The sequence below is a fragment of the Homo sapiens genome, chromosome 13 (assembly GCF_000001405.40).
Source record: "Homo sapiens chromosome 13, GRCh38.p14 Primary Assembly".
Lineage (NCBI taxonomy): Eukaryota > Metazoa > Chordata > Mammalia > Primates > Hominidae > Homo > Homo sapiens.
The window spans coordinates 95063115-95084768 of NC_000013.11; the positions used below are offsets into that span (position 1 = coordinate 95063115).

The following is a 21654-nucleotide window of genomic DNA, read 5'->3' on the forward strand; positions in this document are numbered from 1 at the left end:
CCCAAAATGATACCACCAAAAATGTCACTGACAAACGTCCTCTGGGGCAAAACTGCCCCTGGTTGAGATCCACTGTTCTAAAAAAGAGTTGAAAATAACAGAATCTGTTTACTGGCATTGAAAAGTCAACAGTCTCCTAAGTGGCCCATGAAAAGGCAACTTTTAAATTAGCTTTGCTTGCAGGATCTGAGTAATCTGAATTTCTGAGATAATTTCACAGGGATATTAATTCAAGACAGAGGTGTCAGAAGTGACATAAACGAGTATTCATTTTTCTAGAGTTCTATTATTTAAGATAACATATTCTTTGGTAGAGAAACTTCCAAATATTAAATATCTGCCTATATTTTGTCTCAAAATGTTTCAAAATTCTGAAGTGAAGATTGCAATGTCTTAAAAGACAGTAGTAACCAGTAGCCAAAAAACACATAATGAGATCAACAACAACGCAAGTAACATTTGCTATTTACGTAAGGCCTTTCATCTGCACAGTTCAAAAGGCATGCTGCAAACTAATTAATACTTACAATTGCCCCTTGAGAAACATTTGTGTCAAGTATCACTCCTCTATTAAAGCCAAGACAGAGAGAAATGAAGTGCACTGCCAATACGATCAAAGAATCAATAAAATGCTGGTAAAAAGGTGGGGGCAATACGTCTATATTGTAAAAACTGGCTTTCACATGTGTGCATATAAATCTGTATGCAGAAACTGGCCTCTGCACCAATGACCTTGCACAACTGCAAATTTCCTGGTGGGAACTTCCCAAGAAATGACATCCTCCTTATTTAGAAATCTGGAGTCAACGAAGGACATAAAACATGCCTTCAATCATTTGTCCATTATTTAATAAATTTTAAAACTCACTGCAAAACTTTACTGGGCACTGGGTATGTGTTGGAAATGTGACATATTACCTCATTTGAACACCTCCATATCTGTAAAGTCAATAATGGCATTTCCACAAGGAATTTTATCTTTAAAGAGATACATGTACAAAATATAAAAATGTAAATGTTTAAAAAGTGGCTTTAGCTAATTTTATTAACTTTGGAGTCATATTCTACCTTATGGTAAATCCTAGTTTATACTTTATAGGTGGGCCATTTTCTGCACATAGGTACATCCGGGTGTGTGTGTGTGTGTATATATATATATATATATATATATATATATATATATACACACACACACACCAATTGAATTTCTGAGATAATTTCACAGGGATATTAATTCAAGACAGAGGTGTCACAAGTGACATAAACAGGTATTCATTTTTCCAGACTTCTATCATTTAAGATGACACATTCTTTGGTAGAGAAACTTCCAAATATTAAATACCTGACTATATTTTGTCTCTCTCACACACATACACACACACACACGTGTATGTGTGTATGTGTGTGTGTGTGTGTGTGGGGCTTATGTGTGTTTCTCAGTAAATCAGCACGTATCTAGACATAGACAAATGCTGTGTTTTTGAGAATGTGTGGACACTCATGTTATCAGCTCTATGGGAAACTGATCCATCTGTGCAAACCTGGACATTTGTAGGCCATTATTAGTAGATGGCCAGGATGGACCCCCTCAAAGGTAGGGAACACTGAGGGCTGCCTACAACCATAAGACTAGGCACTCCAAACTCAGGTGAGGATATAATCAGCAAAAGGCAACCAAAGAAAACCTGGCTCTGGTTAGTTCTCTTCAAAGTCATCAAAATTACAGTCTCCAAGTCTTTCATAAGTCACCAATGGGTTTCACCAAATCCTCTGGAGAATATCACTAATATCAGTAAGTTTACATTCATAACACGAAAGAGACACTTAGTTTTATTTTAATTGCTTTACAATTGACCCTTTTTGTTTCCCCAACTGGGCCAAGAGTGGTCTCTTTGGCCAAACATTAGACATTTGTACTTGGATCTCTCTTCATATATGAAACTCAACATGATTAATACCCAACAGCCCCCCTCCAAACAGCTGCTGCTTCTAACTCCTCCATTTTAATCTAATAAATTCTTCCCCAAGTTCACAGGCTCAAAACACCCATCTCCCAGGTTTTCTCAACTCCAAGCACTAAAAATATTACTTGTTCTGTTTCTTGACTCAATACCCTCACTTTAATTTCTGCAGCCATTACCTCAGTGCAAGGCTGCATTAACATTTGAAAAACAAAAACTCTTTTGCTAGTTATAATCAGTGCAAGTGAATTCGAAAAATAAATAAATGCTGGCCACAACCCCAGCAATCTGACAGAATCCTTGTCACATGTTAATACCTTTTCTTTCTGAACTTGAGTGTGAGTTATCTGTGTTCCTAAAGATATAATCTCATATATTTAGGCAAAATGAGAATATGCACAGAATATTATAATCTATTATTTAATAAAAGTATTTACTTCAGTAGCTACATAATATTACAGTATATATGATTATTTATTCAACAAATCCCCTATTTGTGGATGTTTAGGCTCCAATATTTTGCTATTGTAAATAATACCATGTTAAATATCCTTGAAGCTACATCTTTGCAAGCAATCTTAATTGGTTTCTTAAAATAAATTCTTAGATGTGGAATTGCTGAGGAACAGGTATGAACATTTTCAAAGGAGGCTGTTAAGTGATGCCAAACTACCCTCCAGAAATATGATACCAATTTCTACTCCCACCTGTATCCCTGCAAATTCACTAACCAGGGTATTATAACTTTGTTTTAATCAACATTAGTTTGATTCTACAAAGTGGAATCACTTGCCCCATCACATCTTGCCAGCAGTACATAAAATCAATTGGCTTCAGGCCTTCAGCGTCTTCCCCGTGCACTCATTTCTCAGATTAAACTTCCGAAGTACAGCTCTCTGCCTGGCACTCCACACTGGGAAACCTCCTCTACAAAACAGTCCCAACTAACCTTTCCATCCTTAGCTCCATGAGCAGGATTGAGTTTGCGGGGTGGCTGTGAGGACTAAGTGTGCACATGTGTGTTATTCACCTGGTAGTTCATGCCCTTGTATGCTCAGAGATGCCTAATTCTTCATATCAAATCACGGCATCGAGCCTTGGCATATGCCATCGTGCCTTTCACATGCATTTCGACCTGCTGAAATCCTAACCACCTTCTAAAGTCTGTTTCAAATGTGTAATTGCCTTAAAATCCTCCACTTGTCCCCTCGTGTGGATTTCTCCCACACTTAATGGCTGTCGTAACATCTTTTCTAAACAGCCATAAAATCTGCGAATTCCTTCTATCTTACGGAGCAGGCATTTATATACTACTTTGTTTCTTCTACTAGGCGACAGGTGCTGTGGGCAGGGCCTATATTGGAATTAGCTTTGTATTATTTGTATCACCTGTGGTGTCCTGCAAAAAAAACCAGAAATCCCCCAGAGAGTTAAGCATTTAACTCAGGCTTGAAACATTTATGGGAAATCTATTGCCATATTGTTCAGGTATACAATAAGCTAGGTGTTTTACACCTCTTATCTTGTTTAAGTTATAAAACTCTAATGGCTAGGCCCTATCACTTGCATTTTGCAAAAGAGAAAAATCGAGGCTTAGTAAGATTGATTAAACTGTTGAAATGACTGAGCCCCTAAGTGATGGAATGGGACGGAAACCCAAGTCTGCCTGCCTCTTGCCCATTCTGCCGATGGCCTCCCAATCACTTGGATAGCCTGGCTCTGTATTCCCTTGGTGTAGCTAGAAGGGAGACAGCGGGGAGAAGTGTGGTTGTCTTTAAAGGCACTGGCCTGCCATACTGGTCCTATTGTCATACATTTAATGCATGCTGTGGACATGCGTGAGTATAAGAAGGTGGCTAGGACAAGAAGCTGACTACTGTGAGCCAAGACAGTACCTGTATTAGGGTGGATTACAGCTGTTGACAGGAAGAACTGGCACCCACAGAAGAGGCTGGGAGAGAAGCCTGCAGCTACGTTGGACATGGGGCAACTGGGAAACAGGCCAGACAGACCTAGTGTACTGTGGGGCAGTGAGACCCATTTTGATCCCATCAGTAGTGAACGGAACTCAAATACATCGCTGTGCTGAGCTGGTATGAGGACAGAGACTGCTATTCATGGAAGGCTGTATGGTGGGATGAAAACTGTGATAGAAGACAGAGATGACCGGAAAGGTGCAAATGAATGCATAAATGGGGAATCACACAGAATTAAATTGTAATGTAAATTCATAATTTGCAGAATATAAAAGTAAAAAAACAAAAAACCTGTAGGGTGGCACTTGGCCCAGGACTATCCAGAGTCTCATGTTTAGTCACAAGAGGGGCTGGGGCAATCCACGAGCTCCACTTCAAGTTGTCAAAGGAAGTTTCTTGGAAATCACAGATTATTAGTCATCCAAAATTGCTTACCGGAGAGCAACGGCTTTAATGCAGGGGCAGGAGTGGGGGTGGTTCTTGTCCCAGTGCAATTTTAATCAAAAGGGTGGGGTGGGCCTGACAGTCTGCATTTCTAACATGTTTCCAAGCAGAGGCAGGTGATGCTGATCCCAGCCCCTGAGATGAGCAAGCAGGCAGGGCAAGTGGGACAATCTGGCTGTGAGAGGAGGGGTTTCTCAGCAAACATTAATGTAAAAAAGGAGAGAATATAAGAAACTAATATTTTTGCACACTATAGCAAGGTCTAGTACACATCTGTAAAAAGGTATTATCCAAGTAATAGCTTTGAGCAAGGAAAAAAAAATAACAAACCAAAATCAATCTACCTCTAGAGCTGAAAAATGCTTTAAAATGGCCCAGTACTCTCTAAAATGATTAAATCAACCACAAAACCATCTAAATGAAAAATGCAGCCAGTGTTTGGAATCTAACCAGGAAGGCTAGGGTGGTATATACCTCATTTTGGTTCATTCTTTTTTACTTGCTATTTCTTCTGTGAATTAGAAACCTACTTAGCGCCTATTACTTTTTCCTATTTGTTATAATGTCCAGGAAATCTGAGCAGATGAAGCAATTGAAAGAGAATGAAGCCCTGTTTCTGCTGTGTGGACACATTCCTACATCTCCACTGGAAACAATGCCCCTCTCCATCAGCTCCAACAGCAAAGGGACTGCCTGAGATCCTGGGGCTGCAGGCAGGTGTGGAGGAGACGAACCCTGAATATACACACAAAAAGTGGAACCAACTCACCACGATGTTGCCTGAATACACAAATGAAGCTAAAGGTGACACTGTGAGTGAACCAGGACACAAATCAAAAGCCAAGTGGGGCTCAGCGCAGTGGCTCATGCCTGTAATCCCAGCACTTTGGGAGGTCGAGGCAGGTGGATTGCTTGAGGTCGGGGTTCAAGACCAGCCTGACCAACATGGTGAAACCCCGGATCCACTAAATATACAAAAATTAGCCAGGCATGGCAGCGGGTGCCTGTAATTGCAGCTACTCGGGAGGCTGAGGCAGGAGAATCGCTTGAACCTGAGAGGCAGAATGAGCCAAGATTGCGCCACTGCACTCCAGCCTAGATGACACAGCGAGACTCTGTCTCAAAAGCCAAGTGGTTGTAGCTATAATTCAGTCTTCAAATTCAATTTACCCTCCCACATTTCAGATCTCAGGTAATCCTATGATTTGGGGGGGTTTTAAGATGGAACGATATCAATGTGGGGATATAGGTTGTTTTCTAATGTGTACAACAGAGGTTTGTAGATAATTCATATTTTATGGCTACAAGAGAAATTTACAACGTGGCCAAACTAACAGAATGATGTTGATCAGGTAGGACCTAATAACACATTGTCTGAGAGTAAGCAAACATCCCCCTGGCCCCATCAGGAACAGAATCTGAGAAACCTTGCTTTCAGCAAGAGCTACAGCTGATGCTGCCTGCAGAGTGGTCTCCACCTTCTTCACACTCACAAGGATGCTGGGTAGATAATGAGGAATCAGCTTTTGCTGGTTCCCTGGGTATCTTCTGGGCATGAAGCTGTATATTTATTTTTCATGGCACAAGGGTATCATTCATTCAATTGTGACTATAGCCCATTAAATGGGTCTGTGGTGGGAAGAGCTGAAAAGAGCAGTTCCGAAAGTATCTAACACTGACACCCAGAGAACGGGCTGTTGCGGGAGCTGTCGTGTGTGTTTTGTTACCGATTTCTTTGTATGTGCATATCCCTCACTCTCACAGGCACCCACCATGTGCCCTGCAGCATGCCATTTTCTGGGGGTACAGAGACGAATATAAAATGCTCCCTGACTTTAAGAGGCTCAGGGTACTGTGAGATGCTGACCCAGAATTATAAATCATGCCATCGTGCTATCTTCTTTAAAAAAAAATTGTGGTAAAATACACAAAAGGTACTTTATGTACTTTTCAAATTGTGGTAAAGTAACATAAAATTGATCATTGTAATCACTTGAAAATGTTCAGTTCAATTATATTAAATACATTCATGTTGTTGGGCAACCGTCACCATCATCCATCTCTAAAACTCCATTTATCTTGTAAAACTGAAACTCTGTACCCATTAAACACTAATGCCCATTCCCCTACCCCTGCCGCCCACCATCCTACTTTCTGTCTCCATGACTAACTACTCCAGGTACCCACATGTAAGTGGAACCTTATAGCACCGTCCTTAGGTGTCTGGCCTAATTCACTCAGCATAATGTCCTCAGGGCTCATCCATGTCAGAATCACACATGTCAGCATGTGTCAGAATCACCTTCTTTTTAAGTCTGGATAATATTCCATTATGCGTGCGTATCACATTTTGTTTTTCCATTCCTCAGTCAATGGACACTTGGGCTGCTTCCACCTACTGCTCACTGCAAATAATGCTGTTATGAACACGGGTGGGCCACAGATGTTACATTAAAGAATCTGGCCAGGCATGGTGGCTCATGCCTGTAATCCCAGGCATGATTTGGGAGGTTAAGGTGGGCGGATCACTTTAGCTCAGGAGTTCGAGACCAGCCATGGCCAACATGGCAAAACCTGGTCTCTACTAAAAATTCAAAAATGAGTTGGGTATGGTGGTGCACACCTATAATCCCAGCTACGGGGGAGGTTGAAGCAGGAAAATCGCTTGAACCTGGGAGGTGGAGGTTGCAGTGTGCCGGGAATGTGACATTGCACTCCAGCCTGGGCGACAGAGCAAGACTCTGTCTCGAAAAAAGAATCTATAAGATGATGTGGAGAATATAGTTTCAAAGAGGCAGAGATGCTTGAACTGACTGAAAAGGGTGCACACTAAGAGCAAGGCAGACAGGTGCTTGGGGAGAAGGAGGGCACCCTGAGTGCAGGGGATGTGTGTCCATATTGGGAGTTGTGAGGAGAGGGGTGGGAAGGGGAAGAGATTCTACTGTCTTGTTTGTTCTGGTTTAGTTCCTTCAAGAGGCTGTCCTAGTCCTAGCCAAGGGCCCCAGGACACATGTGAAAGGGACATTGCTGGCAGACTTAGATACCTGCAAAACCAGCTCACAAAACTCCACACAGCCTCCCAAGTCCCTCCTTGTTTTCCTTTCACTGACTTTGAGTGAGTCTCTGGTGCCTTTACTGCCTCCAGCTTGGGGGTCTGATTTCTGAGCACTGATGGGGTCATGGGATCTGGGTCTTCCCTTGGGGGCTGAGAGCCAGACAGGTCCTGTCAGGGTGGGCCTGGGGCTCATTAAGGTTGCAGCAGCTGCTCACCCAGGCAAGGAGCTGGCCACGTAAGGATCAGATCTGTGATCAAACTGTTTCAGAAAGAAAGAGTTTGCAGTGAAAGGGATGGGGAGGGAAAGCAAAGCACAGGTTAAAGGAAGGCAAGAAAGACTAAGGAAAGGGCCTGATAATGTTTGGCTGTGTCCCCACCCAAATCTCATCTTAAATTCCCACATGTTGTGGGAGGGACCCGGTGGGAGGTAATTGAATCATGGGGGCAGGTCTTTCCTGTGGTGTTCTCATGATAGTGAATAAGTATCATGAGATCTGATGGTTTTATAAGGGGAAGTTTCCCTGCACAAACTCTCTTTGCCTGCTGCCATCCATATAAGATGTGACTTGCTCCTCCTTGCCTGCCATCATGAGTCTGAGGCCTCCCCATCCATGTGGAACTTTAAGTCCATTAAACCTCTCTTTCTTCTGTAAATTGCCTAGTCTTGGGTATACCTTTATCAGCAGTGTGAAAACAGACTAATACAGGACCAAAGGATGGAGGAGGAGAAAGGCTGGAACAGAAGCTGCAGCAGTGGAGGGGAAGAGAAGGACTTGAGAAATGCAACAAAGTAAAAATCGACAGAATTAGACATAGGAGTGTTGGTGACACAAAGCCAGAGTTGACTTCCTGGAAAAATCCATGAGTAATTAGGTATCAAACAGAGTATCCTGGGTCACGTTAAGCTCCAGCCCTGAGGCCCGGGGCCCACCAACCACAGTAAAGCAGTTCACAGCAGGAAGAATGTTGGTATCCACATTCCATGGTTAGTTTCCAAGACAGGTTAACCTACGTATCACTGATCCCCTTCACACATCCACAAGGAAGACAACAAGCAGACATAGCACTAAATCTTCTGAAATTGAGAAGAGGCAAGATGCTTTAAACAAACCTTTTCTTGTGATTTAATGAGTGCTGTCAGATGCTTCAGTACCAGAGGCCCACCTGGACTGTACATGAAGTTCACATTGTCAAAGATTATCACTCCTTCATGGGGCCAGGCTGGTGGTGGGCGTTTCTGATATTCCCAAGGTGCTTCTTTTTCAAGGTCTGTGTATTCAATGACCCTTTCTACTGAGATCATCTGAAAGAAATATGACATCCCGAGGGGTTAGGAATGGAGGGTGTCATTTATGGATGTTAAGAGACTGTCAATGAAATGTTCTTCTTTCATACATAGTTGGTTAAGGAGAGAAGCAGGAGACAGACGAGGATGTTGATGACTTACAAATTTGGTTCATCATTGTGTAACACCTTCACTTACAACCACTTCCTTCAACATTAGGTTAAAAGAATGAGAGAAATGAATGCTTAGATTTTATTTATCCACTTCTCACACCTGTATTAAAGGCAAGAAAATTTTGTAAAGGAAAGGAATACTTAGAGCCACCAATCAAGAATCTTTTGCTGGCTGGGCGCGGTGGCTCATGCCTATAATCCCAGCACTTTGGGAGGCCGGGGCAGGTGGATCACCTAAGGTCAGGTGTTTGACACCAGCCTGGTCAACATGGTGAAACCCCATTTCTACTAAAAATACAAAAATTAGCTGGGCGTGGTGCTGCATGCCTGTAATCCCAGCTACTCAGGAGGCTGAGGCAGGAAAATCGCTTGAACCCGGGAGGCGGAGGTTGCAGTGAGCCAAGATCGCACTATTGCACTCCAGCCTGGGGTACAAGAGCAAAACTCTGTCCCCTCACCCCTACCCCCCAAAAAAGAATCTTTTGCTATAGAAGGATCACCTGATATAGGTCAGTTAAACTGGATGATCGTGAAACCTCACTGTAATAATTACTCAACTTTTGCTCTATGAGAAGAATGAAAAGATTTTTATGTTTATTGCTTTTCTCTCTTTAGGGGAAGGTGCAAATATTTAAAACATTGATTAAAGCCTCCTATACCACCATAAACTAATACCCTTTGACTAGCACATTCCAAGAGGAGGCTTTCTGTACCAAGAAGGCACACCAGCAAAGTTAAGGCCTTCCTCCCTTCTGTTCTTCACATAAGAGAGTAAACGCTAGAACTGGGAGAGGAGGAGACCTATTAATTAAATGTAAACAACCTCAAAATACTGAAGTCTTCTTTTAACAGGAATGAGGAATTACCCGTTAAGAAACAAAATTAAACAGGCTTCTAAGAAATTAGCTTATATCCTCTCTAGAATTTCAGAACCTCCCTCCTACAGAGACATTTATTACATCTGAAAAAGCTTGTGATGAATATAAAACCTGCTGACAGAGCAACCATAAGACTCAGAAAAAGATGTATATATTTTATTTTACATTAACTTTAAACAGATGGAGGAAGGATCTTAAAAAAAATCTGTTACCAAAGATGTAAAAATAACAGTTTTAATATTTCACATAAGAATGGCTTTTATACCATTTAATGGCAAGGAGATTGAAAAGGCAAAGAACGTGAAGGTAAATATTACCATATTCTCAACTTCAGCACTTTGTCGAACACACCACTGAAACATCCCCATGAGCGTGAGGGCATAGGACAGTGCCAAACCAACCTGCCCGGCATCCAGAGCTACGTAAGGAGGAAGAAGGGAATAAAGTCAGTCTCACTTCAAACCTAAGCCTGGCTCCTTCTGCCACTTACCAAGAGGAACCCTTCATAATGTTGAAACAATTCACATTTAATGACATTAATAGCTATACTTTTACCATTTGTTGCTTGAGATCAAGATACAATGGGGAAAACAACACTGTATATTTAGAAAAATTTTTAGATGATTTTATGAATTCCAACAGGATCGACATAGATTTAATTAACAGTATTACAAACGCAAGAAATAATGTCATTATTCAGACATTCATTATTATGGTTTCAAAGCTCATTACATTATTCCACTTTCTACGTGCAATGCAACCACAGCTGGAAACCACTAAAAACAAAGCAATAGGTTGTAAGTGCCAATGCTTTTGAGACTAAAATACTACTCTCCTTGTTCCATTATTAAGTATTGTAATGCACTGTTGTTACTGGGGTGGTGAACTCATGCCCTGCTTGTCTGGTACCCATGTGGCATTGAAGATAATACTCTCCTGCTGAGAATTTTTCTCAACCTCATGCACCAGGCAACTACAAACAATAGATTCAAGTAGTTGGAAGGCTAACACCCTAAGTTGGACAAAATGCTTCAGAATAAATTGGTTTTCTCTTCACAACTACCAGACACTAACAGGAATGTTCAGAATCTCAACTGCGCATATCTCAACCCATTCAAAGAAAGATAAACCCATCAAGACCCAAATGACTCCTTAAATGAGTCACACTGCTGAATCCTACCCAACCTGACACATCGTAAATGATTTAATACACTTCATTAGGACCAAACAGTATGTAGTAGTAGACAAGGTGGCAAGAGTTTAATAAATGTAAACACAGCTATAAATTGTAATCATACCATACATAGTTATTCACATCTGTACTTACTTTTTGCCAGAATCAGGGACCCAAAGGCAACGATGATGACAAACATGGCACAGATGGCATCCAGACGGACGGCAAACCAGCGGGACGTTGTCAAAAACAAGAACCAAGCCTCTGAATTTGAGAACGGTAATAAGCATGATGAATAAGTAGATGAATGTGCGAGTGTGTTTTGCTCAGTTGAGCTACAGAAGATTTTTACGTGGAGTAGGGCACCAAAGTTGCACACCCAAGGAACCTTTAGATTCCAGAAAGCTAAGTGATACAGGCAATATACGATACACATACACAATGGTACCGTGGCTTTCTGTGAGGATGCATGCGAATATGAAACCCAGAAATATGATCCTAATAAAGAACTGAGAAAAGTAGTCTCATAAGGACATCTCGTACAGTGCTGAGAAATACTTATGTGAAGTGCATCTCATGTGAAGTCCACCCACACACATGGTTGACTGGTCCAGTTCTCCAACAGCAGAGTGCAGCTCCCATTTTACTTCTCCCACCTTCCATACTTACCAGAAGGCCCACACACACTGACTATTGCTTAGGGGCTATATAAAAATGACCTCACTAACAGGATTTGCATGTGGTTTTTTGTTTGTTTGTTTGCTACTTCTTTTTTCCTTTTAGCATGTGGTTTTTAAAGTGCCATTTAATCAGCAAGATAAAATAAAGATTGGAATGACGGATCTGAATTTTGTAGATTTGGTGGAAATTCTGAAATTTCCATATTGAAAAAATCTTCACTGATGCAAGGGGTCAGCAAACTACAGCACGTGAGCCAGCACCTATTTTTGTAAATAAAGTTTTATTGAAACATAGTCACAGCCATTTGCCAATGTATTGACATCTGCTTTTGTGCTACAATGGCAAAGGTGATTCATCACAACAGAGACAATAATGGCACACAATGCCTAAAACACTTACTAGGTGGCCTTTTGCAGAAAACGTTTGCTGACAGAGCCACAGGCCATGCATGGTGAGAGAAAGACCCCACAAGCCAGTCAGGGGGCACAAAGAGGGAACGTGCAGCAGCGATTCCGAGAGGAGTCCAAGCCCAGAAGAAGGGGATGGGGAAGGAGACGAAGATGCGCAAAAAAAGCAGGATGTGGGGCTGGGCCCTGAGGTGCCTGCCAACAAGCTCATCTGACCAGGGAGGTTAAGCCAGAAAAAGCAGCAGATCCTGTCCTTTGAAACCATTTCCAGAAATAGACAGACCTGAATGTAAATCCTGGTGTGCATCAAACAGTTCCTGACACCTCTCTTCTGCTTTGTATGCCCGGATGGTCCAGAGCCCCTGGAGAGAAGATGATAAGTGGGAAAACACTGGACTCCGAGCTGGGGAAACAGACAGAGAAAACAGCTCAGTGAGGCTGGGTGCAGAAAAACCTGCGGCCTCCCAAGCTCCATGGTCACGTATCCACCAAACAGCACACGCAGGCCTCCTAGGAGGCTTCATGTTTCAAGGAAAAATAAATGTTCCCAATAGCCTGAGGGGACCCTGCCACTGGAATCTCAAGCTCCTGCTCAAACCACACCTCACATAAGGGGCCTGGAAATAAACGTCCTATTTTTGACCACATTCAAATCTAGTTATAATTCTTTCCTTCCTAACTCAGCCTTCCAGGTCTTCCTCCTCTCCATATTCTTCCCTGACATCTCTTTGGGCAGAAATGATATTTTTCTGATTTTTGAGCCAGTAGGATTTTAAAAAACAATTCTCTGTTAAGAGTACTCACCATACTGAATTACAATTAGCCATCTATGTGTCTGTCCCCACCTTAAATTGCTAATTTCTCAAGGGTCAGCTATAGCCATTGCACCCTGGTAACTGGATGGTACCTGGCACAGGACATGTACTCAGTAAGTGAGCTGAACAGACAGACTGTCACTTCCCTGCATCCTGGGGAATCTTCTGTGCCCACTCATGCTGGAAGAATCCTTTGTGATCTCCATGGACCTGGGTGCTGCAATGCCCTTGTGCCGTGCCCAAGGAACCTGCCCAGCCAAGATGTCTCTGAATGGTCTTAACATTGGCTCCAGGAACCGGACAGATGTTTTTATGACTGCCCCACTGCAAACTTGTCCTGATCTCTGGAGGTCTCTATGGCATGTGCCATTGCTTTTTTCAGAATCTGACTGTGGTCTCAGTGGGTTCTTCATCTCTACAGAATTTTAAGAAGTGAATTCTTTTTTGTGTGACTTCTTTTTTCTTTGGGAGCTGTATATCCCATGAGGTTCCCTGACCAGCTGCTCCTCCTTGAGCCATTGTGTTTTTGTTTGTGTGGTGTAGGTTTTTTTTTTTTTTTTTAAGAGGGAGTTGCCGCCCTGCCCCGACCTGCCCCCGTTCAAGCGATTCTCCTGCCTCAGCCCCCTAAGTAGCTGGGATTACAGATGTCCACCACCACGGCCGGCTAATTTTTGAATTTTTAGTAGAGACATGGTTTTGCCATCTTGGCCAGGCTGGTCTTGAACTCCTGACTTCAGGTGATCTGCCCACCTCGGCCTCCCAAAGTGCTGGGATTACAAGTGTGAGCCACCGCACCTGGCCTGTTGGGTTTTTTAGAAACAGGATTTCACTCTGTCACCGAGGCTGGGTGCAGTGGTGTGATCATAGCTCACTGCCACCTTGAATTCCAAGGCTCAAGGGATCCTCCCACCTCAGGCTCCCAAGTAGCTGGGACTAGACATGCACACCACCGTGCCTGGATAATTTTTGAGTTTTTCATAGAGATGAGGGTCCTCCTCCTGCCTTGGCCTCCCAAAGTGCTGGGATTACAGGCAGGTGTGAGCCACCATTTCCAGCAGGCCACTGTGTTTCAAGCACACCATTTGATGACTACCAGGACATACCTCCCTCCTGCATAGCAGCGGACATGAGGGCTAGCTACTTTTGGGCAGGGAGGAATTCCTGAGAGTTTCAATTGTCTACCATGAATGAGGCCATACTGGGGCAGGTGCATATTGGGGACACGTGACCTAGCACAATGTCTTTAGCATTCTTTTCTGAGATAAATGATTTGTGCTTTGCAATTAGCAAACACTGACTTTGCTACCTGTGTAGCTCCAGAGAAGACCCTGTTAGTAAAACATGGGGTGTCCGGGAGAAGTTAAGATAACTTTTTATTTATTTATTTTTTTCTGAGACAGGGTCTCACTCTGTCACCCAGGCTTGAGTGCAATGGCATGATCTTGGCTCACTGCAGCCTCAACCTCCCAGGCTCAAGTGATCCTCCCACCTCAGCCTCCTGAGTAGCTGGAACTACAGGTGTGCCACCACACTCAGCTAATTTTTATATATTTTTGTAGACACTGGGTTTCGTCACATTGCTCAGGCTGGTCTCGAACTCCTGGGCTCCAGCAATCAGGCTGCCTCAGCCACCCAAAGTGCTAGGATTACAGGTGTGAGCCACCGTGCGTGGCCAATCTATCTTACAGGCGATGGCTACATATGTTTTATAAAATGATGAGGGGGTAGGGTGGGGGTAAGGGGCGGAGGGAGTGGAAAATTTAAGAGAAAAATTCTAACTCATTTTCTGGGTCGGACTCTTAGTACAGCATCCCCATGCCGATCTGTGCTACAGCTGACTCAATACTGGTGTGCCCACTGTACACACAGACACTGCACATTTGGGGGTGCTGGGGTACCAGTGTGCCAAGACATGGAGGTTCCACATATATCAGAGTCCAGAGTCCACAGTTCCGTAAGTGAAGGAGGAGGCCGCCAGGTATGAGACACTGGGGTTCTGAGAAAGTGGGAAGCCCTGGGTTGGGGAAAGGCAGATGGAGCTGCAGGTTACTGACTGTCCACCCATCCTTGGGGCTCTTTCCTGACTGATACATCTGACTGGGGGCACTAACTTTTAGGGGCCCTCTCCTGTGATAGTGCTTTAAGAAACCAGACCTTCCCTGAGCATAGATTCTCCACCAGAATGTGATCTGGCACTTCCCTTATGTCTAATTCAGGCAGAGAGCCTCCCACGAGTCCACAGGGTTCTCTCTATTCTCTATCTCTGGCATCCACAATGTCTCTACTAAAAATACAAAAATTAGCCAGGTGTGGTGGCGGGCGCCTGTAGTCCCAACTACTCAGGAAGCTGAGACGGGAGAATTGCTTGAACTCGGGAGGTGGAAGTTGCAGTAAGCCAAGATTACGGCCACTGCACTCCAGCCTGGGTGACAGAGCGAGACTATGTCTCAAAAAAACAAAAACAAAAGCAAGAAAACAAAAAGATGACTCTTCAACACACAGAGTAACCTTTTACTCGTTATTTGTGTCAGCTCTCTATAACCTGTAACTTTGCACTGGGAAGGTGGCAGGTGACATGACCGTAAGAGGACTGAGCTGGTGCTTCTGTGAGAAAGGCTGGATGTTCTGCACAGGTCTTTTCTGCACGCCCCAGATGTTCTAGCCTGCACCCTGGAACTTGGTCAATCTGGAAACAGGGTGATATTAGGAATAACACAAGAGAATTCCAGGCCCCATTACCCTACAAAGAGTTTGGCTCCCAGTAGTTCAGAGAAATCACTAGAACCATGCTCTTACCTCCAGAGCAAGGGAGTGTTGTGACTGAACGCGTCCATCATATAGAGAATGCCACTGAGAAGGAAGGAGATGTGGCAGTCATGGGGACAGAGTCCTGGAATGAAATTCTTCAACATAGCTATTGTCATTTGCTTTCCTCATCAGGAGATCCAAGTCGCCACTGTTTTATCTCCAACTGGGTTTCAGGGCAGGGTCAACTTGAGAAATTAGGTACCATCCCAGTTTTGGAACACCCGGGAATATCATGAAGATCAAGCTACACACTTTAATTCACACCAAATTACCAAGGTATAGCAGGAATTTGTAACCTTTGAAAAGATAGTCCTTTCTCTTTCACACCCCACTTAGGGCTGAGAGGGCTGCCAGTGAGGGTGAGCTGGGAGGTCTGCAAAGACAACTAACTAGTACCGAGGGAGAGCGTATGTCAAGCCTCAGCTCTAACGTACTAGTCAGCAGTTTCCAGCTGACACAACCTGCCATTTGACAAGATCAATAGCTGTGTTTTCCACAACACAGAGAACTCTTTAGGATACACTCTACAGAGATTTTCTGTCTTCTCTGAAAAGAACATGAAAAGGAACTGCATGCAAAGATCTGGTCTACCAGTCTTGCTGCGGGGTACTGACGCTGTGTAGGACCTCTCAGGGTTATTACGGTTTTAATTCTCAAGGCTATAGTGCCTCTGGTAGTTCCCGTATGTTCAAGGTTTCCAAGCAGTCTCAGGCAACCCTCATAAGTATTATATCCTTGACAGAGGGAAAAACAGACTTGAGGCATTAAGAACACTGCCCAAAGCTGGGTGCGATGGCTCACGCCTGTAATCCCAGCACTTTGGGAGGCTGAGGCGGGTGGATCATCTGAGGTCAGGAGTTCGAGACCAGCCTGATCAATATGGTGAATCCCTGTCTCTACTAAAAATACAAAAATTAGCCAGGTGTGGTGGCGGGTGCCTGCAGTCCTAGCTATTCAGGAAGCTGAGACAGGAGAATTTCTTGAACTCGGGAGGTGGAAGTTGCAGTGACCCAAGATCACGGCCACTGCACTCTAGCCTGGGCAACAGAGTGAGACTATGTCTCAAAAAAACAAAAACAAGAAAACAAAAAAAACACTGCCCAAGGTTAAGTAAAGTAAGCCATGCAAGTGGTAGACTTGGGCATGGACTCATATCTGTTTTATTTCCAAGGCTGTGCTTTTAATCTGAGCCACAGTATCAGAGAGAGAGAATAATCAGAGTTAAAGGTTCTCATGCATCCTGAGGGCATTTTTCTCCAGACTTTGTAGCCCACGCTTTAAAAATCCCCTAATCTTACTTAGCTAATATCCAACAGCCTTCCCTATTCCTGTGCCGCTTATTAACCACCTTGCATTGAACAAAGTCCCTGGGAATCTAGGATGAACGAACATGGGACACATGGGTTCACACTCATGGCAGACATTGCTAGTGGATCACAATATCTTTACAAACAGAAATTGGATACGGCTTCACATTTCAGGCATTGCCAAATGAGTGGAGGTGGCTAGAGAAATGCAGCCAAATGCCATTCCGGTTTTTATGTACTTCTCTATGACTGACTGTTGATGTGGTGACTCTTGCAAACATAAAATGATCAACTGCAGATTTGTTTTTGTTTTTTGTTTTGTTTTGTTTTGTTTTGTTTTTTCAGTTTCACTCTTGTTGCCCAGGCTGGAGTGCAATGGTGCAATCTCGGCTCACCTCAACCTCTGCCTCCTGGGTTCAAGTGATTCTCCTGCCTCAGCCTGCCAAGTGCAATGGCACAATCTCAGCTCACTGCAACCTCCACCTCCTGGGTTCAAGAGATTCTCATGTCTCAGCCTCCCAAGTAGCTGGGATTACAGGCATGCACCATCACGCCCAGCTAATTTTGTATTTTTAGCAGAGATGGGGTTTCTCCATGTTGGTCAGGCTGGTCTCGAACTCTCGACCTCAAGTGATCCACCCACCTCGGCCTCCCAAAGTGCCAGGATTACAGGTGTGAGCCAATGCGCCCGGCCCAGATTTGTTATTAAGATTCATTAAATGCCGGCTATGACTCCAGGGGCAGTGAGGCAGTCCAACAGAGGCTTTGGAAATCCTTGAGGGCACAAGGATGAAGCTGGATTATGCCTCCCTGCCACGGCAGTCAGGCATCCTGCTTTCAGCTGGTGACTCCAGCAGTGGTCTCAAAAACCACGATCCACTGCTGCTGAGAAGAAACAGTGGAATTGTGACTTATGGCAGAGACCCACCACCCTGGACGAATAACAGTAAATAGTTCCAACCAACCAGCCCCCGTGGTTGGTGATCTGAGCGCATGGAGAAAGAATCCTGCATATTTAACTCATTGTTACAGCCAATCAGGGTACAGGAACACCCAAATATGCCTCAGGGGCCATGATAAGGTTGTCAGAATCTCCACATGAAAATGTTTTCAAGCTTTAAGGTACATGCTGAAATTCAAGAGAGAAAATCCTACACTGCTTCCCAAAAAGCCTTCCTAAGTCCCCCTTTTCTCCACATCCACATGGATCGGATGTGGCTGTTGACACAGACAGTCTACGTCAAGATGTTCCTTCTGGAACGGCTGCTTCCTTCAACATACCACAGACTCCCTTAAAACAAGACTCTCGAATAACTTCATTTCATGAGCGGGCCCAAACCATAAAATGCCTGCACAGCCTTGCTGTCCACACACAACACTGGCTAGGGCCAGTCATCTGCACAAGGAAGGTCTCCCAGCAATTATACTCTACCTTCCCTAGCAAGTCCTATTGGCCAAGTGTTACTCACATGTGGACTCCACTGCTCGGCCTGCCCACTGAAAACCTTACAAGACTAGACCTCATGGTAGCTTAGCTGGTTTTCTTGATGACTGAAAAGTTTTTCTACAACTTTTATGGACTGTCACCCCTTCTACTTCATGCAGACACTTAGGATAAATGCCTCTTAGAGTTCACTGTTGGCCAGGTGCAGCAGTACACACCTGTAGTTCCAGCACTTTGGGAGGCTGAGGCAGGTGGGTCACTTGAGGTCAGGAGTTCAAGACCAGCCTGGCCAACATGGTGAAACCCCATCTCTACTAATAATATGAAAATAGTGAGGTGTGGTGGTGCACACTTGTAATCCCAGCTACTTGGGAGGCTGAGGCATGAGAATCACTTGAACCCAGGAGGTGGAGGCTGCAGTAAGCTGAGATTGCGCCACTGCACTCCAGCCTGGGTGACAGCAAGACTCCATCTCAAAATAAATAAATAAATAAATAAATGTTCATTGTTAAAAGAGAAACATATATATGTCACAACCAAAAACTGCTTTGTCCTAATAAACTTCTATTTACCACTCAGTAGAAGATACTGAAAATGATGGGACTCAATGCTTCTCTTCTAGGCGTGGCTTCCAGAGAGCTGAGTTGGCATTCAGCTTTTCTGATACAAATATCTTCCTTCTTTATTTTTTGGCTATTATCCTTATACCTTTTATTAAAAAGTAAAGCAATTCTACTCTCCTTATGAGTTTGTGTTTAACAATGATGAAATATGTTAATTTGTGCATGCATAATGAGATGAACTCTGGATTATTTCATCTCTGCGATTACATGTGGAATAGAGTGATTAATCATAAAATGTCTTCCTCATGATTCCAAAACTAGGAAATTGAAGAGAGCAACAGACTATATGTTTTCTAAACTGATATATCTCCTTGTGATCTAAGGGGATTATTTTCAGTGTCCATATATATATAAACAGCCTGAGGGGGAAAAACCTCAAACTGTGACATTAGAACAAGCACCGCTGGTAACAAATGGAAAACTGAAAATAACAATGCTTATCTTTTCAAAACGTTTAAAACTGCAACTTCCTAGCCATTTTGTGAGTTTGCAAAAGTCATAAATTTACCAAATACATTGCTTCTGACACCTCTTTTCCTTTCTCCATCCTTCTCATTTCCTTGTCATTTTTAGTATCTTCGGGGAAAGATACTAAAATACCCTAATTATTTTCCTTCTATATTAGTTTCACCATGATCAAATATTTTATTTCTAAGAAAAATGTTTAATTAAGTGCCGGCTTTGTGTAAGAAAGTATGTCATAAACAAGACACGGAGAGTCCCTGTCTTCACAGTGCTGACATTCCTGTAGAATATTACTCCCCATATGGCCTTCACTCCTTCCTTATTCCAAATGCAAAGTTGCACGTTGCAGGCTATCAATTCCACATGCTCTAAGGGACACAATGATTCATAATGGCCAATACGTTCAATTACCTAATGTTAGAGAAATTCTGGAAGACAGAGTCTGCCGAATTTCAGGGGGTCTCTGTAATTTATGGCATAAATGGAAACTAGCTAGCATGTCTATACCAACCCGAGTTTCCATACTCACTTGTAGATTCCAGGCGCTTCACATCTCTTGACGTTTCCAAAAAATATCGCCGAAGAAAAATGAAAATGATTCCAAGGGGAACCAAGGGTATTGCGATCCAAGGAATCACGGCCACAGCCACAGAGACCACACCAACCACTTGTAGCAATGTCTGAAATAGCAGAAGTAGATGCAGGTTTTCCTTATCAAGTATTCTTTTCAAAAATACTTGCATGAGTTGTTGTTAGGATTACACTCCTTTCTCTGAAAGACTTATTGTAGTACCAGGGACTGCTTTTCCATACAAAGGAATAACAAAAGTATAGGTGGTCCTGATGATATCTATTACATGCCTGCCATGTGCCAAACACTATGATATAAACTTATCCATTAGGTTTTTTTTTCCTTTTTCTTTTTTTTTTTTTTGAGATGGAGTCTTGCTCTGTCACCCAGGCTGGAGTGAAGTGGTGCCATCTCCTCTCACTGCAGCCTCCCACTCCCGTGTTCAAGTGATTCTCCTGCCTCAGTTTCCTGAGTAGCTGGGACTACAGGTGCATGTCACCATGCCTAATTTTTGTATTTTTAGTAGAGATGGTGTTTCACCATATTGGCCAGGCTGGTCTCGAACTCCCGATCTCAAGTGATCTGCCCACCTCTGCCTCCCAAAGTGCTGGAATTATGAGCGTGAGCCACCACACCAGGCCCCCATTAGTTCTTTTGAAACACTCACCAGCCTCATGAGTCAGGCATTATTACTTTCCCTATTTAATGGATGAGAAAACTGAGATTTAGAGTAGGACTTGAATCCCAAACTATCATGAGTCAGTTGATGTTATGCGGGAAATGAGCAAGCAGGCATCATAGACAAGGAACCCAGAAGCCTCAGCTATGCACGGGATAAGGAAGTGACTAATTGCAAATTCAGTGCTCAGAAAAAAAGGAAATAATTTAAATCTTCACCTTTGGAAGTGGGGAGTCATCTCTCTTGGTATCTATCCTTTGCTAACATTTACTGAATGCTGATTGTATATCTGGCTGTATATTAAATACACATGTATCAACTCACTTAAATCTCACAATATCCCTATGAAGTAGTATTACTACACCATTTTACAGATGGAGACACTGAGGCACAGGGAGAAAAAAGTAACTTGATCAAGAACACACAGCACCAGTCACAGAGCTGAGGAGCATGCATTGTCAGCCACTACATTTTAGCTTGTCCCCAGCATACGGCTAGCTTTTTATTGGTCAGGATAAAATCCCTGAATTTTTCTCTAATTTTTCCCCTAAACACACTTACATAAGAAATTAGAGTTCATTAACATGCCCAATAAAGAATAGATAAGAGAAATGTAATTAAATTTTACATGTTTTAAAAGACCTGAGACTTTTTTCTTTTTATTACAATATATTGAATTTTATATTGTCAGAAATTTTTGTCTTCTATTTCTCTTACATTTAGTAGCACTGAGGAAGAGGTTTGATAACAAGAAAACAAGTCAAAATGTCTAACAGGGTTTTTTTTTTAGCTTTAACACTTGGATATGCATTAAATTTTCCACGATTAGGAGAGTATTTCAAACGTCTATTTCAGAGGCACATGATAACAATAGCAAATGACATGTATGAGCACGTGCAAGGCACTGT

At 43.0% G+C, this 21654-nt stretch overlaps 1 protein-coding gene across 4 annotated transcripts in view; it reads right to left on the bottom strand.

Moving 5' to 3' along the window:
• The window catches only part of ABCC4 (ATP binding cassette subfamily C member 4 (PEL blood group)), a 281617-nt gene that overhangs the window by 43280 nt on the left and 216683 nt on the right, over nt 1-21654 (bottom strand). For all 4 annotated transcript variants that reach the window (NM_001301829.2, NM_005845.5, XM_047430034.1 and 1 more), the window contains 5 exons: nt 20026-20176; nt 12318-12437; nt 11100-11210; nt 10090-10190; nt 8548-8739 (listed from right to left, as the gene is read on the bottom strand). In NM_001301829.2, the coding sequence (NP_001288758.1) occupies nt 8548-8739; nt 10090-10190; nt 11100-11210; nt 12318-12437; nt 20026-20176 (675 nt within the window). The remainder of the gene's footprint in view (nt 1-8547; nt 8740-10089; nt 10191-11099; nt 11211-12317; nt 12438-20025; nt 20177-21654) is intronic.